This window comes from Homo sapiens, chromosome 15 (genome assembly GCF_000001405.40).
Source record: "Homo sapiens chromosome 15, GRCh38.p14 Primary Assembly".
Classification (NCBI taxonomy): domain Eukaryota; kingdom Metazoa; phylum Chordata; class Mammalia; order Primates; family Hominidae; genus Homo; species Homo sapiens.
In genome coordinates this window covers 32868924-32893020 of record NC_000015.10, presented here as the reverse complement: position 1 = coordinate 32893020, position 24097 = coordinate 32868924, and the positions used below count along the sequence as shown (strand labels likewise).

Genomic DNA, 24097 nt, shown 5'->3' with positions numbered 1-24097 from the left:
GAACCATGTTTTACAAGCCCTCTGTAGTAGTGCCCATCAACCAAAAATAAAGCTTATTGATATGCCAGATGTTGTTTACCATACCAAGAACAAGACACAGTTTCTGCCTCTGAGGTGTTTAGAGTCTAGTGGGGAAGATGTACAAGATAACATGGCAATTTAAAAATTAATGGTGATACATAAACTAGAAAACCTAGAAGAGATGGATAAATTGCTGGAAAAATACAATCCTCCTAGCTTAAATCAGGAAGAATTAGATACCGTGAACAGACCAGTAACAAGCAGCAAGAATTAAATGATAATTTTAAAATTACCAACAAAAAAAAAGGTCCAGGACCAGATGGATTTACAGCAGAATTCTACCAGACATTCAAAGGAGAATTGATAACAATCCTTTTGACACTATTCCACAAGATAGAGAAAGAGGGAAGCCTCCCTAATTTATTTTATGAAGCAAGCGTCACCCTAATACCAAAATCAGGAAAGGACATAACCAAAAACGAAAACTACAGACCGATATCCTTGTTGAACATAGATGGTAAAATCCTTAACAAAATACTAGCTAACTGCATCCAACAACATATCAAAAAGATAATCCACCAGGATCAAGTGGGTTTCATACCAGGGATGCAGGGATGGTTTTAACATACGCAAGTTAATAAATGTGATAACACCACATAAACAGAATTAAGAACAGAAATCACATGATCATATCAATAGATGCAGAAAAAGAATTCAACAAAATCCAGCATTCCTTTATGATTAAAACTCTCAGCAAAATTTGCATACAGGGGACATATCTCAATGTAATAAAAGCCATCTATGACAAACCCCCAGCCAACATAATATTGAATGGGGAAAAGTTGAAGGCATTCCCTCTGAGAACTGGAACAAGACAAGGATGCCCACTCTCGCCACTCCTCTTCAACATAGTACTGGAAGTCCTAGCCAGAGCAATCAGACAAGAGAAAGAAAGGAAGGGCATCCAAATCAGTAAAGAGGAGTTCAAACTGTCACTGTTTGCTGATGATATGATTGTTTACCTTGAAAACCCTAAAGACTCCTCCAGAAAGCGCCTATAACTGATAAAATAATTAGCAAAGTTTCAGGATACAAGATTAATGTACACAAATTAGTAGCTCTTCTGTACACCGACAGTGACCAAGCAGAGAATCAAATCAAGAACTCAACCTCTTTTACAATAGCTGCAAATATATACATATATATATATGTGTGTATAGTAATATACCTAAGGAGTCAAAAGACCTCCACAAGGAAAACTACAAAATATTGCTGAAAGAAACCGTAGACAACACAAACAAATGGAAACCTATCCCATGCTCATGGATGGGTAGTATCAATATTGTGAAAAGGTAGAATTAATATTGTGAAAATGACCATACTGCCCAAAGCAATCTACAAATTCAGTGCAGTCTCCATCAAAATACCACCATCATTCTTAACAGAATTAGAAAAAAACAACTCTAGGCTGGACACGGTGGCTCACGCCTGTAATCCCAGTTGGAATGCCGAGGCAGATCAAGAGGTCAGGCGATTGAGACCATCCTGGCTAACATGGTGAAACCCCGTCTCTACTAAAAATAAATTAGCTGGGCGTGGTGGCGGGTGCCTGTGGTCCCAGCTGCTTGGGAGGCTGAGGCAGGAGAATGGCGTGAACCCGGGAGGTAGAGCCTGCAATGAGCCAACATCGCATCACTGCACTCCAGCCTGGGCGACAGAGCGAGACTCCGTCTCAAGAAAAAGAACTCTAAAACTCATACGGAACCATAAAAGAACCCACGTGGCGGGAGCCAAGACTAAGCAGAAGAGAAATTTGGAGGCATCACACTACCTGATTTCAAACTATACTATAAGGCCATAGTCAGTCACCAAAACAACGTGGTACTGGTATAAAAATAGGCACATAGACCAATGGAACAGAACAGAAAACCCAGAAATAAACCCAAATACTTACAGCCAACTGATCTTCAACAAAGCAAACAAAAATATAAAGTGGGAAAAGGACACCCTTTTCAACAAATGGTGCTGGGATAATTGGCTAGCCACATGTAGGAGAATGAAACTGGATCCTCATCTCTCACCTTACACAAAAATCAACTCAATGGATTAAGGACTTAAATCTAAGACTTCAAACTATAAAAATTCTAGAAGATAACATTGGAAAAACCCTTCTAGATGTTGGCTTAGGCAAGGATTTCATGACCAAGAACCCACAAGCAAATGCAATAAAAACAAAGATAAGTAGTTGGGACTTAGTTAAACCAAAGAGCTTTGGTACCTCAAAAGGGGCAACCTAAGAGTAGAAGAAAATCTTTACAATCTATACATCTGACAAAGGACTAGTATCCAGAATCTACAGTGAACTCAAATCAGTAAGAAAAGAACAATCTCATCAAAAAGTCGGCGAAGTACATGAATGGACAGTTCCCAAAAGAAGATATACAAATGGCCAACAAACATGAAAAAATGCTCAACATCACTAATGATCAGGGAAATGCAAATCAAAACCACAATGCGATACTGCCTTATTCCTGCAAGAATGGCCATAATCAAAAAATCAGAAAACAGATGTTGGCATGGATGCCATGATCAGGGAACAGTTCTACACTGCAGGTGGGAATGTAAACTTGTACAGTCAGTATGGAAAACAGTGTGGAGACTCCTTAAAGAACTGAAAGTAGAGCTGTCATTTGATCTAGCAATCCCACTACTGGGTATCTATCCAGAGGAAAAGAAGTCATTATATGAAAAAGATACTTGCACGTGCATGTTTATAGCAGCACAGTTCACAATTGCAAAATCATGGAACCAACCCAAATGCCCATCAGTCAAAGAGTGATTAAAGAAACTGATATATATATATACAATCGAATACTACTCAGCCATAAAAAGGAATGAATTAACAGCATTTTCGGCGACCCGGATGAGATTGGAGAATATTATTCTAAGTGGAGTAACTCAGGAATGGAAAACCAAACATCGTATGTTCTCACTGATATGTGGTAGCTAAGCTATGAGGATGCAAAGGCATAGGAATGATACAATGGACTGTGGGAACTTGGGGATAAGAGTGGGAGGGGGATGAGGGATAAAATACTACAAAGAGGGTGCAGTGTATATTTCTTGGGCGATAGGGGAACCAAAATTTCACAAATCACCACTAAAGAACTTACTCATGTAACCAAATACCACCTCTACCCCAATAACTTATGGGAAAAAAATTAATGGTGATAAATGCTGTGATAATGTAAGCGTCATAGGCCTTTGGAGAACAGGGGAGAAACACCCACGTGCTGGAGGTTAGGGGAAATCTTTAAGGAAGGACGTTTGTTTTAAGACTTAAAGGATGAGTATGAACAAGGAAGTGTAAGGAGGCACTAGGGAAGGGTCGGAAAGGGACCATTTTATAGACAAAGGCCTAGAAGCAAGAGATTGTGGTCTGTTATTTCATGAAGGTCTAGAGGGAGTTGGAGATAGGGGGAAGGTAAAAATGAGGCCAGAGATGTAGACAGAGGCCAGATCATAAAGTGCCTTGTAAAGCAGTTTTAGAGTTTGGAATTAGTCCTAATGGCAGTAGGGAAGATGGAATGTGAAGGAAAGCTGGCAAAGTAGCCTGTGCAGAGAGAGGAATAATTGAAGACGGCCTAAGACATGCAAGATACAAAGCTTACGTTAAACAACTCAGGGAGAAAGCTAGCTAGACTGGAAAAGATATTTGAGGCTCATGTGCCTGAAGCTTTTGTCCTTCAAGATGTTTCTCAGCTGAGAATTCTCCATTAGCTATAGCAGTGGAGCTTGTTAAAACTATACTTCACCCTGCCCTCGGTCTCCTAAGATAAGCCAGACAACATTTGCAAAAGCTTTTCAAATATATGAAGAATTTTGGGGAAGCCAAGGCTGGAGGATCGCTTGAGCCCAGGAGTTAGAGACCAGCCTAGGCAACATGGTGAGACCCCCGTCTCTACAAAAAATTAAAAATTAGCTGGGTATGGTGGCACGTACCTGTGGTCCCAGCTAATAGGCTGAACTAGAAGGATCGCTTGGACCTGGAAGGTCAAGGCTGCAGTGAACCGTGATTGTGTCAGTGCACTCAAGCCTGGGTGACAAAGCAAGGCCCTATCTCCAAAAAAAAAAAAAAAAAACCTGTGTATATGTGTAGATACACCCATATACAAAGAATCTGATCATGCATGCACACAGAAGAGCTTTAAGCCACAGAGAAAGGTGAGGAAAGGTGATGGGAGGGTGATTGTATCTTCCATTGCAGTGCCTTCTTATCCAGCACCTTCTGATTCACACCCATTGGTATGCCCCAAAGATGACTTGTCTAATTGCTAGCATGTGTAAATCAAATGGGGACTTCAAATGTAAGTACTTTCATGTGTTCCCCTCTTCCATTTTTCATGGGAGTGGAGTGTCCAAGATCAGGACGACCTGACAATTTTCTCTTTGATTCATGAGGCAAAATAGAACCTGGCCCATGCCATAGCCGACCTCATTGCCAATAAGTCCAAAAAGAGATTGTGAAAGACAAGAAAGCACTTCAAAGTCACAAGTCCAAATTTAGGAATAGCAGAGGAGCATTGCTATGATTCTTACTCAGACATCCAATAAAAAAGCTTTTTTTTTTCTCATTGATGCTTTGGAATTTCAACTGAAAGTGACAATTGGGAAGTATAATGTACTTTTGTTTACCATATCTCTTAGGAAGCTGGAACAGAAAAGAGTGTTTTCCCCTTGCCGGAACCACAGGATTTCTTTCTGGCCTCCCAAGTCAAGTTTGAAGACCTCATAAAAGATTTGAGAAAACTGAAGAGGCAACTAGAAGGTAATAGGAACTGTTCTGCTATTATGATAATAGCTAAGATTACTTTTAAAAAATGTTTTAAGAGGATTATTTAGGTCTGGTTCATAGAGTGGGATTGGTGCAGAGTTCAGCAATGGTACACTACAGCTTTCAGGAAACTTTCCTTCTCTACACAGTGTGTAGAGGCACTGTATTTTCAAATTCTTCTCTTTTATTAGTGTTGATCATTTGTTTCTTATATCCATATCTCGTTATATCTACATTTTCTAACATTTAGTAGTTATAACATTATTAATGATAATAGCAGTAACCATTTACTAGATGCTTACTGTTGTCTCATATAACAATCTTAATAAGCTGGAACTACACTAAACCCATTTTACAGATGAGAAAAATGAGGCTTAGAGAAGTTAAGTTCACACAGCCAGTAATAGACAGATTTACTGAGCTCTAATCAAGTCTAATCAAGTCTGTCTAATTAGAACTCACATTTTCTAGTTTCTAGTTTCTAGAACTTACACATTAGCTAGTTTACTCTGCTGCTTTAAATATATATGTATATCATACATATCGTACACATACACACATGTTCCTGTATGTTTGGTTTATATATGAGTCTAATAATGATGGTAAGGCCCACAGTAAACATTCCATTTTAGTTTAATTTACATTTTTAATTAGTCAAAAGAAAATGCTGAAAGCCCCTTTTTGGCTTTTTTAAAAGGTGAAAATATGTCTCACTTGGGCAGGAATTTTCCTTTGGCATTTCTAGAGTCTCGTGTTTTTACTGTGGAGACATCTCCTTGTCCAAGAATATAAATACTTGCCTTGGAGCTTGTATAACTCCAATTGAAGAGCTCTGCGGAGGATTTAGAGAGCGTGTTAATGTGGAAATGGAGCCCAGAGTGCCAGAAGCAGAGCTTGAGGAAATGAAGGGCTTCAACCAGGAATATTTTAAGACCAAGACATAAAGTAAACATTTTTAAAATGTTTATTGTGAAAGAGTACTCAGAAACCTAAGTCTGAGGCTGAGAACAGCTTGGAAATGGAAGTAAAGTGGGAAAGATCTGCTCCCGGTGGCAAAGAGAGCCATTTATTTTTACTTTGGGCATAAAACTTACATGGAAAGGATAATGGTTACAGGTGAATATTTTTATCTTGTATATTATTTTTAAAGGAACGTGGGTTTTTTTTCTCCCATTGATGTGGTTGAATGAATTCAAACAAATGGATGCTTCCTTTAGAAATGCGATATGTGAACTTGCGGTCGTTATTTTCTGTCTCCTGAAGAATTGGCGGTTGTATCCTTGTTGAAGTTGAGGAGCTTGATTAATATTGTAATAAAGCGTAGTAAGCTACCAGCTAGCATTTTTGTCTGTCCCTCTCCACTGGTAGAATTAGGGCCCAGGCTGGTCCTCAGTGTGGCAGCAAGAGTTAGCAATGGCAGGGGAGCTTGTTTGCTCCACGGCTGTTCCTGAATGCCCATTCCCTCTTGTCTCTTGGCCCCTTGTGAAACCCTTGGCCTGACCTCTCCTATAGTCTTTGAGCCGAAACCTGATCCCTGTTTGATCTTTTCCCTTCTCCTTCCAGGGGCTGCCTCACTTTGACGTCCCTGTACGTTTGATGATAAATAGCAAGAGGATAAGAGGAGTGAACTGGGAGGCGAGCAGAGAGACAAGGGTTCCCCCATAGCGCCTCACTTTGGTACACCTTCTTTTGTCTAGGGAGGCTCTGAATTGTCGTTCCGGATCTCTCAGTACTCAACTGACACTTTCCTCAGCCGATTTTAGGAAAATACAAGAGCTTTTGAAGCAGGTAGAGCGGCCTTAGGAAAGAAAACTGAACATTGTCTCAGTTACTTTTCTTCTTTGTACCAGGCTTCACCAAAACACATGAAGTACCACAAAGGCAAATGAGGAAATGACTCCCCCCACCTCACACACATGGAATATTTAAACAAAAATGCCCTGCTAATCTTTAGAGATGCCAGTGTTTTCAACACATGAAAGGTACCCAGTAAATATTTAAAGAAAATACACACCGTAGGTTCTCTAATGAATTTCTTTTTCTTCTAAATACCATCTGGCAAGATGGCCAGAATCGTGGCGGTCCGTTTCATCTTAACGTTTCCATTCAGGTTTCACCTCCTTTTCCATAAGGCCTTGGTGTGAGCTGAGATTGAATGTTTAATTGAAGAGGACATAATTTTCACACATACAGCAAAGATTTGATGAGGCTTTGAGGTTTATTGTAGCCATTAAAGTGTCGTAGCTGCTGGCAAAATCCCAGAAAATGTCTAAAGCTAAACCAGATGTGATTAGCAAATTTCAAGAAGTATCAGGCCCTAGATCTCCAGGCAGGCAGAGTCTTTTAAAAAAAAAAAAAAATAGTATTAACACACCTTAACCTAATGTGAATTAACCTATGGTTATTGGTCATACTAATGTCACTGATTTAAGTAGAAGTTGTCATTAAGCATCTTTCAGAGAGGCAAGAACTTTGAATGGCATTTTTATGCAGGTAAACGTAGCATGGAATTGATAATAGTATCAACTGCAACTTATTGTGTCATTATTATCTATCAAGTGCTTTATCTATATCACCTCTTTTAATTCTGCAGTGACCTTGTGAGGCAGATACTATTTTTGACTTCTCACAAGATAAGAAAGCTGAAGTTTGTGGTGCTCAAGTAATTTGCCAGTGTTTCAGAGGTGATGATCTAGTCAAGTTTTGAAACTAGATACGACTTCTAAGGCATGTGTTCAATACATATCACGCCTGTGACCCAGAAGTCACCACATCTGATTGGAGATCAGACAGAAAGTTTTGGCATTCAAAATGTGAAGCCTCATGAAGAAAAAAATTAGAGTTACTGAACATATATACACAAGCATGCACACGTGTGCACACACTCCCAAAACCACACATGTAGACTGTCAGATCAGATAGAGTCACAGGAAGGAACTTGCTTTGGGTTGGAATTGGAAAGGGGAAGAAGTCCAGGTAGATGGATTGTCAAATAGACATACAAATAGGCACATTACATAGGACTAAGATCAGGCTTTGAGTTCAGATGTGTATGTTTTACTGGTTCAGTGAAAGTAACAGCTTGTCAAGTAGCATAATCGTAGAAAGTATTCACTTTCTCACCTGTAAAATGGGACAGTTATAGGACCTGCATCATAGGAAATAATGTCTGCACAGTTTCTTAGTGAGGGCAGCTTCAATAAAGCTGATTAAGGGCATGTACCTTTCACTGGAAAGTGCACAGCCTGTATAATCAGCCGGTGTTGCTGAGAGGCCAGCTGGCTATGTTTGTGGAGTATCTAATTCACAGAGCACTTGTGCTTGCTTCTCTACATTGTAAAGAGAGAACCAAGTTCTTGGTGCTTGGGAACATGTTCCATATTTTGTTTATTGTTCTACATCCCTTAACAAGACAATAATTTCAATTTCCCTGATACTGTGAAGTTGTAAGCAATAATTGAGAAAACACAAACAATGGCAATAGTTACTTTCATTCTCCCTCTTTGTCCTTGCTGGCTGGAACTCTCAGGGTGTTCTTACCCACCCATATGTGGTAGGCAGAATAATGCCCCCCAAGGATGTCCAAACCCTAATCCCTAGAATCTGTGAACATGTTGCCTTACATGGCAAAAAGGGACTTTGCTGATGTTGACATGGGGAGATTATCCTGGACCGTCCAAGTGGGCCTAATCTAATCACATGAATCTTTAAAGTCAGTCTTTAAACGCTGAGGACTTTCCCTGGCTATGATCAGAGGGAGATATAACGACGTAAGAATGATCAGAGAGATGTAATGTCGCTGGCTTTGAAGATGGAGGAAGTGGGCCGTGAGCCAAGGAATGTGGGAAGCCTCTAGAAGTGGAAAAGGCAAGGAACAGATTCTCCCTAGAGCCTCTAAAAGGGAGTACAGCCCTGTCAGCACCTTGAGTTTAGCCTGTGAGTCCCATGTCAGACTTCTAACATATAGAACTAAAAGGTGATATATTTCTGGTGTTTTAAGCCTCCTAAGTTTGTGCTAATTTATTATAGTAGCAATCAGAAACTAATACACCAAGGAGTGGACTCTTCTTTCTGATTGCACCAGTTAATACCAGAGACAGACACACACACATACACAAACACACACATGCGCGTGCAGCATTGCTGAAACTATAGATGTAGGATTCGTCAAATAGTAGCACCTAAAAATATTACCTGAAATGTGAACTGGAACTGTTGTTCTCTGAAAGAGTCTATGATCAAATAAACCTGGACATGCTCTGTACGAAAATCATATCCTAGGGATTCAAAGCACATGAGCTTATTAAAGCCTCTGGGAAGTTCTGTAGTTAAAAAAAAGTTTAATGCTGTTTAAAACAGCATTTCCTAACTTAAAGCATGAAACATTGGCTTGCTTTCTTTTCCCTTTCATTGTCTACTTAGTAATATTTTTACAGAGCATAAGTTGTGTAAAAGGTACTTTAAGAAGAAAGGATATTGATTGTACTAGCAACACGGTTGTTGGTGAAATGATATTACTGGGTCCTGCCTGCAGGAGTCAGGATCTCTAGTAACGTAGGGGAGGGCAGGTCTGACTTAGCAGAAACAAGGCCACATGTCATTACTTACCGCTTGATCTCATTCTTTTTTTTTTTTTTTTTTTTTTTTTTTTTTTTTGAGATAGGTTCTTGCTCTATTGCCCAGGCTTGAGAGTAACAGCACAATCATGGCTCACTGAAACCTCAATATTCTGAGCTCCAGCAATCCTCCTACCTCAGCCTCCTAAGCAGCTGGGACTACAGATGTATACCACCACGCCCAGCTAATTTTGTAAATTGTATTTTTTGTACAGACAGGGTCTCACTGTGTTGCCTAGGCTAGTCTCAAATTTCCTGGGCTCAAGCGATCCTCCGGCCTTGGCCTCCCATAGTGCCAGGATTACAGGCATGAGCCACCACTGGACCTGATCTTACCCTTGATCAGTTTTGTTTTCATTTTCATTTGGGGTTATGTGTGATGTCCTTTTCTCTTCCTATTACTGCAGTTGATCAAGAGTTGACTATGAGTAGGAGGGAGGAATGCTAAGAACTGGTTGCTAATCTAATGGATATTCAACTTTGTGTTACTGTGGGAGGGGAAACGGTTCCTCTGTCCCTGCTCTTCAGCAGCTTTTAATGCAAGTTTGCCTCGTCACCATCCTCTTTGATTCTGGCTTCTTACAGCCATGCTGGCTCTTGTTCTGTCAGGAATCAATGTATCTGTCCACTCCGATGAAAGTGTGGCCCTTGCCTGAGTCAGTCAGTGCTATTGGGCCCCAAAGAGAATTTAAGAAAGTGTTTCCTGTTGATATTATCTTAGGAAGCAAAATGGTTCTTCCTTACTCTTAGGGTTGTCAAATTTATTAAATAAAATTCAGGAGGCCCAATACTTTTCTTTCAGGGTTTTTTTTTAAATGTAAGTGTATCTCAAATATTGCATGGTACACACTTACACTAAAAAATTTTTTCTTATCTGAAATTCTAATTTAACTTGGTGTACTGTTTTTTATCTGGCATGTCTGTAGAGAATCTAAAAGCAATAATAAAGTCAACTAGAAGTCAGTTCGTTTTTTATTATCATTATGCACTAGCAATTCTAAACAATGGCAGCAATAAAATTCTCCTCCCTACCAGTGTAGACAGTGGACAAAGGGTCTATAAATGTGGTTAAGGGTGTGGCGTGTGTCCATTTCCACCATCACTAATGACAACACTTACCATTTAATGAGCACTTAATACCAGCAAATTTGCTTACATCATTTCTATTTCTTAAAACTCCTTCAAAGTAAGTGTTATTACCTGTGTTGTTACAGTAAGGAAGTGGAAGTTACTTTGCTACTACTGGCAAAGCTGAAATTTGAAACAGGTTTATCTGTGCCGTACTTTGTTCCTTTACAGTTTGCAGGCTCACCCTAAAAGCACAAAAAATGTGATCCAGAATGATAAAGTTTGAAGAATAAGCCCCACTTCGTTCTGTGGCTCATCTTCTAAAGGGACTACAGATAAAAATTGGATTGAATTCAGGCTTTCTCTTGTCTCTACATACAACCACTCAACCAGTCTGCCTATTGTAGTCTCTCTCCTTCCACCTCCTGCCTGTCAATATTTTTCAGTTTCTCTGACTCCCTCTCTGTCTCTCTGACATTGACCTAGCCTCTGTTTTATTCCTTCGTGACCCAAAAGAAAGCATACTAGTCTGATGTGGCTAACTGAACTAATAGCAGAGGACTAAAGGGCCATCCCTGGGCAACCTGCAAGGTTTTGTTATCTCTTCCATGTGTGGAAGTTAGATGTATTGGGCTCCTGATGTAGATGAGAAGGTAAGGGAATTTTCCAGAACTTGTCAAGTCACATAAGAGGGTGAGCTATGCTTCCTGTGCTCAAGACCAGCCCTGACCCTGCAAAACGAATGACCTCTGCCACCTGGTGTCTTCAAGTGGCTTTCCCTCCATGAGAGTTTAAATGCTTCTTGTAAGAGGAAAAAAGACAAAAATTAGATCTTGTCATGAGGGTGAAAATTTTCTTTAATTACTAATTAAAACATGGCCCATAAACAACAATATGGTTCTAGTAAGGGGGAAAAGTCACTTTGGAAACCTTTTGGAGGACTTTGGTGGAAACGTCATTGATTGAACACTCATCAAGGACTGAACACTCATGGAATTTCAGTTCCTTTTGAAAATTTCTAGAACGATAGTAGAATTCTTTAAAAGCATCAATTTTAAAGCATAGAGAGAACCACAAAATTTTGGAAACTCAAAAACAGATGTATACATGATAAATGAATTAATCAAACAAGAAAGCTGAATTCTAATCCAGGAGTGATAGGAGGTGAGAAGCAATCCAACTTTTACTATAAGACTTACATGTACCACAAGTTTGTGCATATTTATACAAACATGCAGAAAGTCATACATATTTGTACATAAATTAATACAGTCATTTAAAATGTCTAAAAATGTTGGATGAGTTCCTAATTTTAAAAGGCCTAAAAAGTTTTAATGTTTTAATAATAGTATAAATCTGTTTTACTCCCCCGTATTTGATTAATATACAAAATATACAAAAAATATGCAAAAACAAAAAACCCCACAATGAAATGAAGCTTTGTGAATGGCAGTTAAGTTTCAATGGCATAGGCTGGGGTGTTGACAATAGCACTGAACTAGGATTTAGGAGACAAAAGTTTAAAGTTAATTCTGCCACTTACCATGTGATATTTGACTAATATGGGGGAAGTAAAACAGATTTATACTATTACTAGAACATTTCAGAATACTTAGGACAAAAAGAAAAGCTCACCCCCTTCTAGGAGTAGGTGGGATGTGGGGATGGATTACACACACAGTCAGGAAACAGAATGACTTCAGACTTTTCAGTAGCATTACTAAAAGCTACAAATGCATCAGGATTCTGAAGAAAAATTATTCCCAGTCCAGAACCTTATATCCACCAAACTATTAGTCAAATATGAGGACAGATTAAAAACATTTTGAGACATGCAATTTCTCAAAATACTTATCTCCCATACAGTTATCTTCAGGATGCTACTAAAGAAAGTGCTGTCCCATTAAAGAGGAAGACATAGGTCACAGGAAATAAAAATTCAGTGGAGAAGGAAGGTGAATGGAGCCTCCAGCACAGAGAAAAAGCCCAGGATGGCAGCCAGACATTGAAAGAAAACATTTCAGATTTGATTAAGTCAAAAGCATCATGGAGAAGGTTCTTAAGGAATACACAATTAATACATCTAATATATCTGAACGTTTGGACAAGAGATTTTATACAACTAGTAACAAGTGTGAGGTTCATTTAACGTTAAGCTCATAGAAAACAAACTAAATCAGAAAAAAAAATTCTGAGAGCAAGTGTGAGAGAAAGAGGAAATGTGCGGGAAATGTGGAATAATCAGAGTTTCCATATATCAGCTGGGACTGCGAGTTGTTTTTGCAAAGTCATAATAATGTCAACACCAAACGCTAGTCTAACCAAGTCATGGTACCGTGTGCTATATTGGGGTGATGGAAGTGAAGAGGCGGGAGTGAAGGAAAGAACTACATCATTTATAGTTGATAAAGAGAAAAATAAAAAAAAAACAATAGAAGCTTGTTAGAGACATACTACTAAGCACCAAATAATCACATAAAATTGGTAAAAGAGGTAGCCTCTGAGGAGGAAGAATTGAGGAAATGGTGGGGTGGAGATGGGGGACTGCTGTTCTTAAAGTGCATAGAATGTACTGATTCTTTAAACTGCGTGCACGTATAACTTTGACAAATACATAAAAACAAAAAATCCCACAATGAAACAAAGCATTTGTGAATTTGTTAAGTTTCAATGACAGAGGCTGGTGTGTTGAAAATAGTACTGAACTGAGATTTAGGAGATGTAAGTTTAAAGTTAATTCTGCCTCTTATCACATGATAAACCATGCACTTTGCCACATCACTTAGCCTCTGTGACTCTCAACTGAAAAAAAAAATGGAGCCGATCATACTTCTGGATTCTGCCCAACACAAAGGGATATTGAAAGGGTCAGATGAGGCGATGCCTGAGGAAGTACCTCAGGAGGTGTGAGGTAGTACTTAAATTCCTGAGAGGCCTTGCAGTCTGCACTTTACTCAATGGATGCTGGTGTGTTCTAGAAGGGAGAGCAGGGTATTGATCATTAGGACAGGTCTGGCTAATTTATCACCTTTTGGGAAGCTCCAGAAGACATGACTTGAATGATTATTGACCATGTCTAATTTATTAGCTCTTTCCTCCTTCACAGCCCATTTGTCCACAGCAGTAGTTTACTAAGTCTGAGCTCTGGTACGAGACTGGATACATTAGCCAGAGTCCTGACCATGTTGCCATGGTGTTAAAAATATTTAGTTTTGCAAGCAAAGTTTTAGAAATAATAAAAAAAACTTTGATATGATTTATTTTTGTAAAATGATTTCAACAAAACAGACCTAAGGAACTGGGATAAGTATTTCAGAAAAGCAGTGGGTGTAAAATGTGGATCGGCATGGTGACTTTTGATGCAAAGCATTCAATTAATTGAGCATGGTGACTAAAGGTCACACATTTCCCAAATGAAATGCCTTCAAAGACAAGTTGTACAGAAAGGAGAGAGGAAACTGAAACTTGATTCATCCGTTTAATTAATGGAAGAAGTTTGTGTTTTCCTTTGAAGCTGTGATTGTGACATTTCTAGGTGGGAAGGATGAGTTATGTTGTCCTGGTTTCCTCCTCTCAGTTTGCACCCTCTATTTCTACCCTCTATTTTATAAAAACACGTGGTTAATAGAATGTGTTTTGTTGAGTTTTTTTCTTTGACAAGAAACATAAAATATTGAAATAAAAGCTGCAATCATAGAAAAGTCTGGGTCAGAAGTCCTGAATTCAAATCCTTGCTTCACAAGCTTTGTAACCCTTGGCAAATCATTTCATCCCTGACATTTCAGTATCCTCATATAAAAATGAGTGTAAGGCTACCTGCTCCACTGATTGTTTAAGAGGATTTACTGGGATCCCACAAAGGAAATCCCTTTTCATAGCATATGCCAAATGTGTCATACTTTTCCTTGATTCCTTTTGTGCTCTCATGTCTGACAGCTAGTCCTGTTGACTCTTAACTTCAAAAAGTGTCTGGAATCAATTCATTGCTCTCCATCTCCACACCTACTGCTTTTGTAATCCAAGCTACCACCTTCTCACCTGGCCCATATCAAGCAGGTTTCTCTGCTTCCACTCTTGGTCTTCCTTTGTCTCCACCTGCCGCATAGGTCACAGCACTCTGTTATTTCATCTTCATTCCTCTTGGAATCAAATCCAACCTCATACTCATGCCGTACAAACTGATTTAACCACTTCTGCCTTTCCAGTCTTCTCTCACACCACTCACCCCTCCTGCCCACTAAACTCCAGCCACACGGGCCTTCTTTGTGTTCCAACACGATGTACTTGTTCCTGCTCTAGGATCATTGCAGTAGTGGGTCCCTCTCCTAGAAAGCCCTTCTGCCAGATAGGCCCATGCTCTGAGCCTTCCTTGCCCACCCACTCTTCAGGAGGCACTTTGAATAGGCACTGTCTATTACAGCCTTCGTTTTTCATATTACTTTCACATATTCATATTTCATATTATTTTCTATTTATTTGTTTGTAAATTTTCTCTTCCTCCACCAGCTTCATGAAGGCAGATATATGACCTTTTTTATGTTTATATTTACTGTGCTGGTCAGCACTTTCCACGTATTTGTTGTCAATATTTGGTAAATGGGTGAATGAATGAGCAAATGAACAATGGAAGAAATGACTCAACTTCAGATAATCGCTGACTCTGCTATTAGTGAGAAATTAGATCACTTCCTTATGGCCAAAGATGTCAGATAAGCATCCGTGAGTAGAATCTTTTAGAGGGACAGATTTTAAAGCTGTCTGAAGAGAAAACTGATGGCCTTGAGCAGTAGTGGGTTCCTCACCCACTGCTTGCTGGAAGATTGTATTATGTGGGTGGGTAGAGGAGGTACCATTAGACAAGTAGTTTGCTAGATGATTTTGAAGGTATATTCCAACTCCTGAATTTCTGAGATGATTATTCTTACTATGCTATTTCAGTGCATTCTATAATTCTCCTTGTTCATGAAGGGTTACTGTATTGAATTCCTCCCTAGACTGACTTAATTAGAACAACTGAAAAATCCTAGGAATTCTGACCATTTGCAAGACTTTTTTTTAAAAAGTCAACTTTCAAATTATATCAGGCTTGCATCTCAGGTATTCTCTTTGTAAATGACTCTGAACAATCTCTTGAATTAATTCATGCCTCAAAAATTCTTGTGTTGATACCATCTATCCTTTTTTTTTTTTTTCCTGAGACAGAATATTGTTCTGCCACCCAGGCTGGAGTGCAGTGGCACAATCTCGGCTCACTGCAACTTCCGCCTCCCGGGTTCAAACGATTCTCCTGCCTCAGCCTGCAAAGTAGCTGGGACTACAGGCACCCGCCAGCATGCCCAGCTAATTTTTTGTATTTTTAGTAGATACTGGTTTTCATCATATTGGCCAAGCTGGTTTCAGACTCCTGACTTCAGGTGATCCACCTGCCTTGGCATCCCAAAGTGCTGGGATTACAGGCATGAGCCACCATGCCCAGCCGATACCATCTGTCTTTATAGAGCAGAGCGCTTATCCAGTGTGGTAGGTTAATGGAAAAAAATTGGCCAAAATTGGGAATCATGGAAAATGACACTTGTATCCCTTAACACTTTAACTTACAACAAATTAAATGTTGTATCCTTTGTCTGTATTCTGATGCAGGGATGAAGCTTTTACTTGAATTATGAATCTGTCGAATGCAGTCCTATAGGTCTTCCCTACATACTCCATAATGACAGCATCTGTAATTTCCCTACTGTATTTTTAAAGTTCAGTAAAGACTCTTGCAAATATCACCATAGAATCTTTCTAGATATTTATAATTGTTCTCAATCTTTTAAAACTGTGTTTCCCACACTTTTTAAACAATACACTTTAATTTTTATTTTGGAATAATTTTTAAATTGCAGAAAAGTTGCAAAGAGTAGAGAGTTCTCATATAGCTCTTCTCAGTTACTTTCCCCATTCTTGGCATCTCACACTGCTGTGATCCATTTGTTAAAACTGAGAAACTGGCAATGATACATTTAGATTGACTGAATGCTAGTTTTTATATGGATTTCACTGGTTTTTCCATTTTTGTCCCCTTTCTGTTCCAGGACCTAATCCTGACTACCACATTGCATTTAGTTGCCATGTTTCCCCAGTTTCCCCTGGCCTTCTATACCTACATTTAACAGCAATATTTTAGCTTCTTTCATTAAAACTTATAGAAATAGTACCTTTTGACAGTCATATATCTGGTTTACCATCAAGTCATTAAATTACATAATTTCAATAAAAAGAACAACAGGAATAAACAGGTTTAGAAACAACACAAGTGCTTTTGATCAGGATTCTGCTCGATAGCTGGAAGACTGAATCAAGTATGAGGACTGGAAAATAGCATTAATTTGGCAAGTTCATTAACAAAGTATCCTTGATATTTCCTGTTTTTTTGGTTTTTTAAAGGTACTCTTGTAATTATAATGGTGATACTTTACCTGCCTATGGTGCTTCATCCTCCCAAGTGAGTAGGGCAGGCATATGCAGCTTGGAAAACAGAGTCTTCGAGATAGGAAGCAGCATGGCCGGGATCACCCAGCCAGGCACAGAACTCAGGTCCTTGACTGCCAAGCCAGCGCCCAAGCTACCATACCATGAGCTTGTATTGGGTCAAAACATTTTCTTTACAGAAATAGAGTAGTGGATAGTTTTGTGAATATCAAAATACTTTTTCTGCCTAAGTAAGTTGTATATCTTTGACTCTGTGGAAGATTCACAATCCACAGAGAGATTCTTCTCATGTCAGTCAACCAAATGAGTGAAGTTAGAGGGAGACCTCCTTAGCCCCTGCAAAGGGGACTGGAGTTTTTGCCAATATCCTTATCTCTCGTAGATTCTTTCCCAGATAGCTCAACCTCAGCGTGGCTCCTAGGTGGATAGGGGCCATGAACTGTGACTCTACCTTTTAATACTCCTGGAAAGATCACAGACCTACCAGGAAATTGACAGCCCTGGTTCCAGTCTCTGCCATGCCACTTACTAACCTAACCACCTGGTAGGCCTTTTCCCCATTTGAAATGACAGGATCCCAGTGGTGGCACTTGGTGATTTTTTTAGCTTTTATTAATTCCTTACAGTTGACAAAGCATTCACATAGGTGTCCCATAGTTTTTTCTAGAACTTTCCTGTAGATGGTGAAAGTAGGAGGTGGCATATTATAAGGGCAGGGGGTCTGTTACCCCTGGATTCAGATCCTGACTCAGCTACTTACTGTCTGTGTGACTTTACTAATACTCACCAAAAAGGGGACAATAGCAGGAAAACTTTCATAGGGTAAGATGAGATAACACATAAAGCAGGCTGAGGGCTAAGACACCCTTGGCCATTTAAGGGCCATTTGCTTTTGATTATACAGTTTGAAAATTTGTTGTTGTTTTCAAGGAATTACTGAGTGAGAGATAAATGGCAATATGTCCAAGTCAGCATGGAGGACCAGGACCCGCTGGACCAGAAACTTTTCCTCTGCCATAGTAAACAGAAAGGGGAAACGCCCAAGGAACATTTATAATGGCTAATGTACTAACAGTGCTAATTTGGTTGTGTTTTTAAACCTTTTCTGGACCATTTTGATGGTCTTTAAAAAGTGTCATCAAATCTCCGGGTATCAAAGAAAAAACTACAGAATACGAGACAGATCTTGTTTGACCTTTTCAATCAATTAATTTGTTCAGCAAATATTTATTCTTAGCACTGAGTTCACTGCGAATTTTAAATAAACTCACTGAAAGATCAAGTCCTTTATAAACACATTTTAAGGGTAAGTTTTATCCCCATTTTCTAGGGGAGAGATTTATTCCTACTTCTGATTTCTCTTCTGCTCAGGAACAGGAATCTGACTGTACCTGAGAACAGAGATAATACTTGTCAGTCTGTTAGAGGGTAAACAGAGGGAAGGTATATAGAATTTTCCCTCCAGCTGTTCTGAAGATTCATAAAAACATCTGCAAAGCCCTTCCTGACTGTGATCCTGAAGAGAATCAACTAATACTTGCCACCTTGGTTTCAAGGCATTATATACCTTGGAATTACAAACATCTAATTTTTTTTTCAATCCATGACATACCTTTTCCTAACTCCACCAAATCCCAAAGTTGAGTGTTTAAGCTGGGCTTGATATTCGCTATATATAGCTAATATAGGCCGGGCTTGGTGGCTCACACCTGTAATCCCAGCACTTTGGGAGGCCGAGGCAGGCAGATCACGAGGTCAGGAGTTTGAGACCAGCCTGACCAACATAGCGAAATCCCGTCTCTACTAAAAGTACAAAAAATTAGCTGGGCGTGGTGGCAGGCACCTGTAATCCAAGCTACTCAGGAGGCTAAGGCAGGAGAATCGCTTGAACCCAGGAGGCAGAGGTCACAGTGAGCCGAGATCGCGCCATTGCACTGCAGCCTGGTGACTGACAGTGCAAGACTCTGTATCAAAAAAAAAAAAAAAAAAACAACTAAAATAAAATTGTGAATCATAACCAATGGCGTATTCATTAATGAAATGGAGTAAAAATAAAAAGGCGGCTAATCTAGGAATAATTGAATGATGGAGCGGTTTTGCTGAGTCATATTACATATACCTGACTCATCCCAAAGACAGAGACAAATTCCTTGCGCTCCCCAGGCCAACAGGAGATAGCTTGGAGGGGCCTCCATGACTTTAAGTTTTATCACCTAGTCTTATTAACATCAGGGCTGAAGATGTTAGAGAGTTTAATAGGCATTTCAGAATCTGTGACACCTAGCCTCTCAGTGGATACTATTTATTTGTCATTTCAGCCGTCTTGTTCTTCTCAACATCAGCCCTGCCCAGAACTCCCCCTCTCCTCTAGCAGTCCCCCATCCTTCCTCAGATGCTTACACACACTCACTTTACGTATAACCACGTAATAGCCTCCTGTTAAAGGCTCCAGCAGCTCATCATCTCTAGCCTGACAGGCCCTAGGATGCAGACTACCAGGGGCTGCTGGACCAGAAACTGTCCCTGCGCCATAACTCAAGAGAGAGGTAGGATCAATGACAGATTTACAGGAGAGCACAGTTTTAAATAGCTGAGATCAGTGTCTGGAGGCTTCCCGTTAATACCACTAACGGCGTCCAGCAAGCGAGACTATTGGCCACTTTGTTACCCACTCTAAACTGTTTCTGATATTCAACTCTATTTTCAAACACATCCTAAGAAATCCCTACTCCCCCAAAATTGACAATGCAGCCTTCTTTATATGAAACCTTGTTTATAGGCCACAATTCTCCCGACAGATTTACAAGTGTCTGTGGAGTTTTAAAAGACGATTGCTTAACAGGCATTAAGTGAGACACATAGGACTGTGTAAATATTTTAGCTGGAATAGGATTTTTTTAAATGTCTGAGCCAAATATTGCATTAAATCTGAAGACAGTGGCAAACTGATTAGCAGTGGCTGCCAGCTCCATGCTTTGCCAGTGATTCTGGAGCCAAGACTAGATACCAGAATTCATCCACCAGATTAGGTTGTGTGTTTTAAAAATAACTTTCCATCCTTTTTTTTTTCCCTCTCTTCTCTTTATGCCTTTCTGTCATTTCTCCTTTATTCCCTCATGGTTCATTTAGATGTAAACACTTTCCAGAGTAGAAAATTACAGTTAATGTGACTAACCAGCGAGGGCTGAAACGGGAACATGGGCTCAGAGGTCAGAGAAACCGTGGAAGACTTGCAGCTGTCCTGGTGGAGCAATGTGGGGACAGGTTGCTTTTTACTAATAGGCCTTGTGTATCTTAATCACTGGCCTCTTTGTAGCCAGCTGTTGCACTGCTGGAAGGGGACTAGTCCTAAGACCAGCATTGCTGTAATACCTCTTCCTCTTACTGATTTCCTTGATTCATAAAGAGGCTCAGGCCTGTGGCCTTCAAGACGTGTATGTGTGAGAGAATCCTCAATTCTAGTAAAAATTGCCACAAAATATGCATTTTGACTTCAGAGGACATATTTAGTATTTAAGCATTCCTATAGGAGTACTATTTTCCTGATTAGAGCAGTGGATAAGATGTGTTGCTATAATTTTGGGAGGAGTGAGGCGTTCTAGCTAACAACTTTGCTCTGCCTTTGCTGACTTTTAACCATTGTCTTGCACTAATGATACCTGTATGCTTCTTGAAGTACTATTCAATGGGAGTGCCCCAAAATATAGGCTCTATATGTTCTTCACAAATGACTTGAATTGCAATCGTATGTCCAAATGATTACTTGATATTGTTGATTGGAAAGTCTGAGCATTTAAAATTTTGTGTGCTCATAATTATATAAATGTATATTACAAAACTCTGAGTGTTTGATGTAAGTTTGCTGTACACTTCCCCCAAGTTCAGACAGCTTTGCTAGTGCTGACAGTAGCATAATTTACATTCCAATTAAACGTGACACATTAGGGCCTTTCAAAAAAAAAAAAAAGAGCTACTTTCATGCACAGGCCTCAAACCTAGTTTTATGCTGTGATTAATCCCCAATTTCTATATCAACTCTCATATATCACCAGTTATGGTCTTGTGTTTGAGTAAATTACTTCAGTGGATGGATGGTCCTCTTACTGTTTTCCATTCCAGAGTTTTGCACTTCCAATGTGATGACCGTAGTCCCTACATGACAGTGACAGGCACCGTTCTAGCTTGCATGGAGCCAGCCACCTCTGCAGAGTGGTACAGAAAATGGTTTTATTTCCAAAATCTCTCCCCTTCATCTCTCCCATTGTGGTACAACCCATTTTGTACCAAAAACAGTTTGACCACTAATATCAAGAATTCTACAAAGGTTTTTCCTTTTTACCTATAATTTCATTTCTTGTATCTTTTATCTTTGTATCTTGTATCTTTAGGTCATTTCCTAAAGAAATGACCCTCAACCTAGAATAAGTTTGTATGGACACAGATGTGGCTCAAGCCTGACTCCCCATGAGAATAAGGTAGAAAGGATTTCACTATCCAACTACAGGAGAATTAAGTGAGCTATGGCATGCCTACCTGATGAAATTTTATATGGCTGTTAAACATGCTTGTGGAGTTTGTGAAATAACAGGAGAATGTGTGCATGATATGTTAATAGAAAGAATCAAAATACAAAAAAATTCTTTATCAAATATAAGTAAGGCAACCCCCATAAAATGATGGAGGGGCAAGGAGCGCGATACCGAGGCCCAGACCCTGAAAGAGAAAGTATGCAAGTCTTAGATGGTGACTGTGTTTTGGTCATGGTGTCATGACCGATTTGTTTTTTCTGCTGTTTTAAAAATGTTTTTCAAATGTCTTTGTGTGTATATGTTACCTTCCTAATACTTTTTAGAAGTTAGTCGCTGCTCTCCTCCCGAAGATGAGTTCCCTTCCCCTTCAGAGGCCCGGTACCTCCATGCCTGGGCTGCCTGCCTAGGACCCCTGCCACACAGTCCACCTCGATGCCAGAGCTTGCAGTATGTGCCTTTTTCTTCCATGTTAACACAACTTTCCTACCTATTGTTTTTGAAATCCCCTACCTCCTAAACCAATCTTAGAAATACATTTCTACTAAAGCATTAAATTATTCTTGACAATGTTTTCTTTTTCAACGAATACATATGCATTTCTAATGAAATTTCTGGAGTTACCATCTTTAATTCAAGGGAAGGCTTCTCATGGTGGCGATTTTTGTGGGGACCAGTGAAAGGGATGTTTTTGAATAAATGTTTGAATCGCTTAACACCCTATAAATCAAATCATGCCCAATCCATCTATATTTAGGCCTCGTCATGGGTAGGTGATTAATGAATATGTTTCATGCTAATGTCTCGCAGACCGAGGCTGCGTCCGTAACCACATAATCATCACAGTGGAAATTCTGACTCAGCTGTGACGTTTGGTAGGCGGGACCTTTGAATGGTGCTTTAGACAATTCCGTGCAAAGGCTGTAGTCAGTGGCCCAGCTTTGCAAGTCTTTCCAAAAGTCCTAAAGCGCACTAGCATGTCCTCACTTGGCCCTGTCACCTCTGCTTAAATTTTTTCATGGAGAATACTCACTCCCAATCATGGTACATTAAGGTGAATTTGATCTTGGGCAGCCTCCCTCAGTGGAGTGAATCAGAATCATGGGATTCCCCTGGACTCCAGCTTCCTGGTGGGTTTATTTTTATGGAACATTCCTCTGGAGAAAGAGGCAGCCGCTCTGTAAAGGGCTAGACCTCTTCTGCACGTGATCAAAGTAGCCCTAGAGAATATCTTCTTGTATGGAATGATTTTTATGACATGATGGCTTTGGGAGTTTTCTTGAAAAATTAAAGGAAGAATCTTTCTAAGGAGTCCTACTACCATGAAAGGAAACTATCAAAAACATCCCAGGCAGATAAGAACTAAATCAGTTTTAAAGTCACCAAGAAAACAACACTTCCATGGCCTCATTTGATCTTTAGCACTTGACCAGGAAAACTAGAGCTATCTTTTAGGCTTAATTCCAACGACTTCCCCATTTTGGCGTTCTTTCTGTAGCTTAACTTCTTAAACAAGTGGCTACAGAATCTTTCTCCATTTACCTCACGCCTCTCCAAGCTGGCTTTTTCCCCGCACCCCCAACTTCCCTGGAACTGCTTTTGAGATTACAAGTGACCTCTGTGTCACTAGAATCAGTGTTATTTCTCTGTCTTCATCTCACTTGATCCTTCTGCACAGAGCTGACTGCTCTTTCTTTCCTGCAATTCTGTTTTCTTCTCAGGTCATGTAACTCCAGACCTTCACTTTCCTACTGACCAGCTCTTCTCTGTTCATTGCTGGCCTCTCCTCCACTGTGCACATGCCCCAGGGTTTGTCCTGCAACACCTTCTCTTCCTTGGCTGTATTCTCCCCATGGCAATTCATATTTTGCTATCACTTTAAATACCAATTTTATACCAATGACTTCCTGGCATGTGTGTCTACTCCAGCCATGAGTCCCAGACTGCAGACTTTTATATATACTTGAGTGTCTAATTCACATTTCAAACTTAATGTGCTCTAAATAACACCTTTGATTTTCCACCTCGAGCTTGCTCATGACTCCCTCCCTTACTCTGATTAAATCTCTAGTCAAATAGCTTCACAGTGAGACTTTTCCTAACTACTTTAAGTAAAATTGCAAGCCCCTTATGTCTGTGACACTTTTCCTAACCAGGCTGGTCACCAGCCTTTTCACCGTTCACCTGAGTGTGTAACCTGGGATACCTTTGGGGCCCAGAAGCTTTTCTCCCCTACGCACACTCTTTCCTTTACACCAAAATCTGAATGCAGAACACCAGTGATCTGAGGAGAGAAGGTCCCACAGCTCCAGACATGCTACACCACTTAACTCATTCAAATGGCCCGTGCGTTCTCATCATGTATTACTTTTATTCATGACATTTCACCTTAATTCTCTTTCCTCACTGTGGTTGAGGGCTAGCTCCTCCTTGACCTTTGCAGTTCAACTCATAAGTTTTCTCTCCTGGAGAGCCTTTCCTGGCTACTAACTCCTGGCCCAGTCTGAAATAGAGGCCTATACCCAGCGTTCCATCACACCACACTATATCACAATTTG

The 24097-nt window shown here is 39.8% G+C and overlaps 1 protein-coding gene across 16 annotated transcripts in view; it reads left to right on the top strand.

The window, feature by feature from the left end:
• FMN1 (formin 1) overlaps nt 1–24097 on the top strand; it is a 429171-nt gene that overhangs the window by 301694 nt on the left and 103380 nt on the right. For 15 of the 16 annotated variants that reach the window (XM_011521509.4, NM_001277313.2, XM_011521504.4 and 12 more), the window contains one exon: nt 4729–4849. In XM_011521509.4, the coding sequence (XP_011519811.1) occupies nt 4729–4849 (121 nt within the window). Of the gene's footprint in view, nt 1–4728; nt 4850–12405; nt 24089–24097 lie in introns of those variants that run through there. The other variant, XM_011521507.3, reaches the window with a different exon arrangement.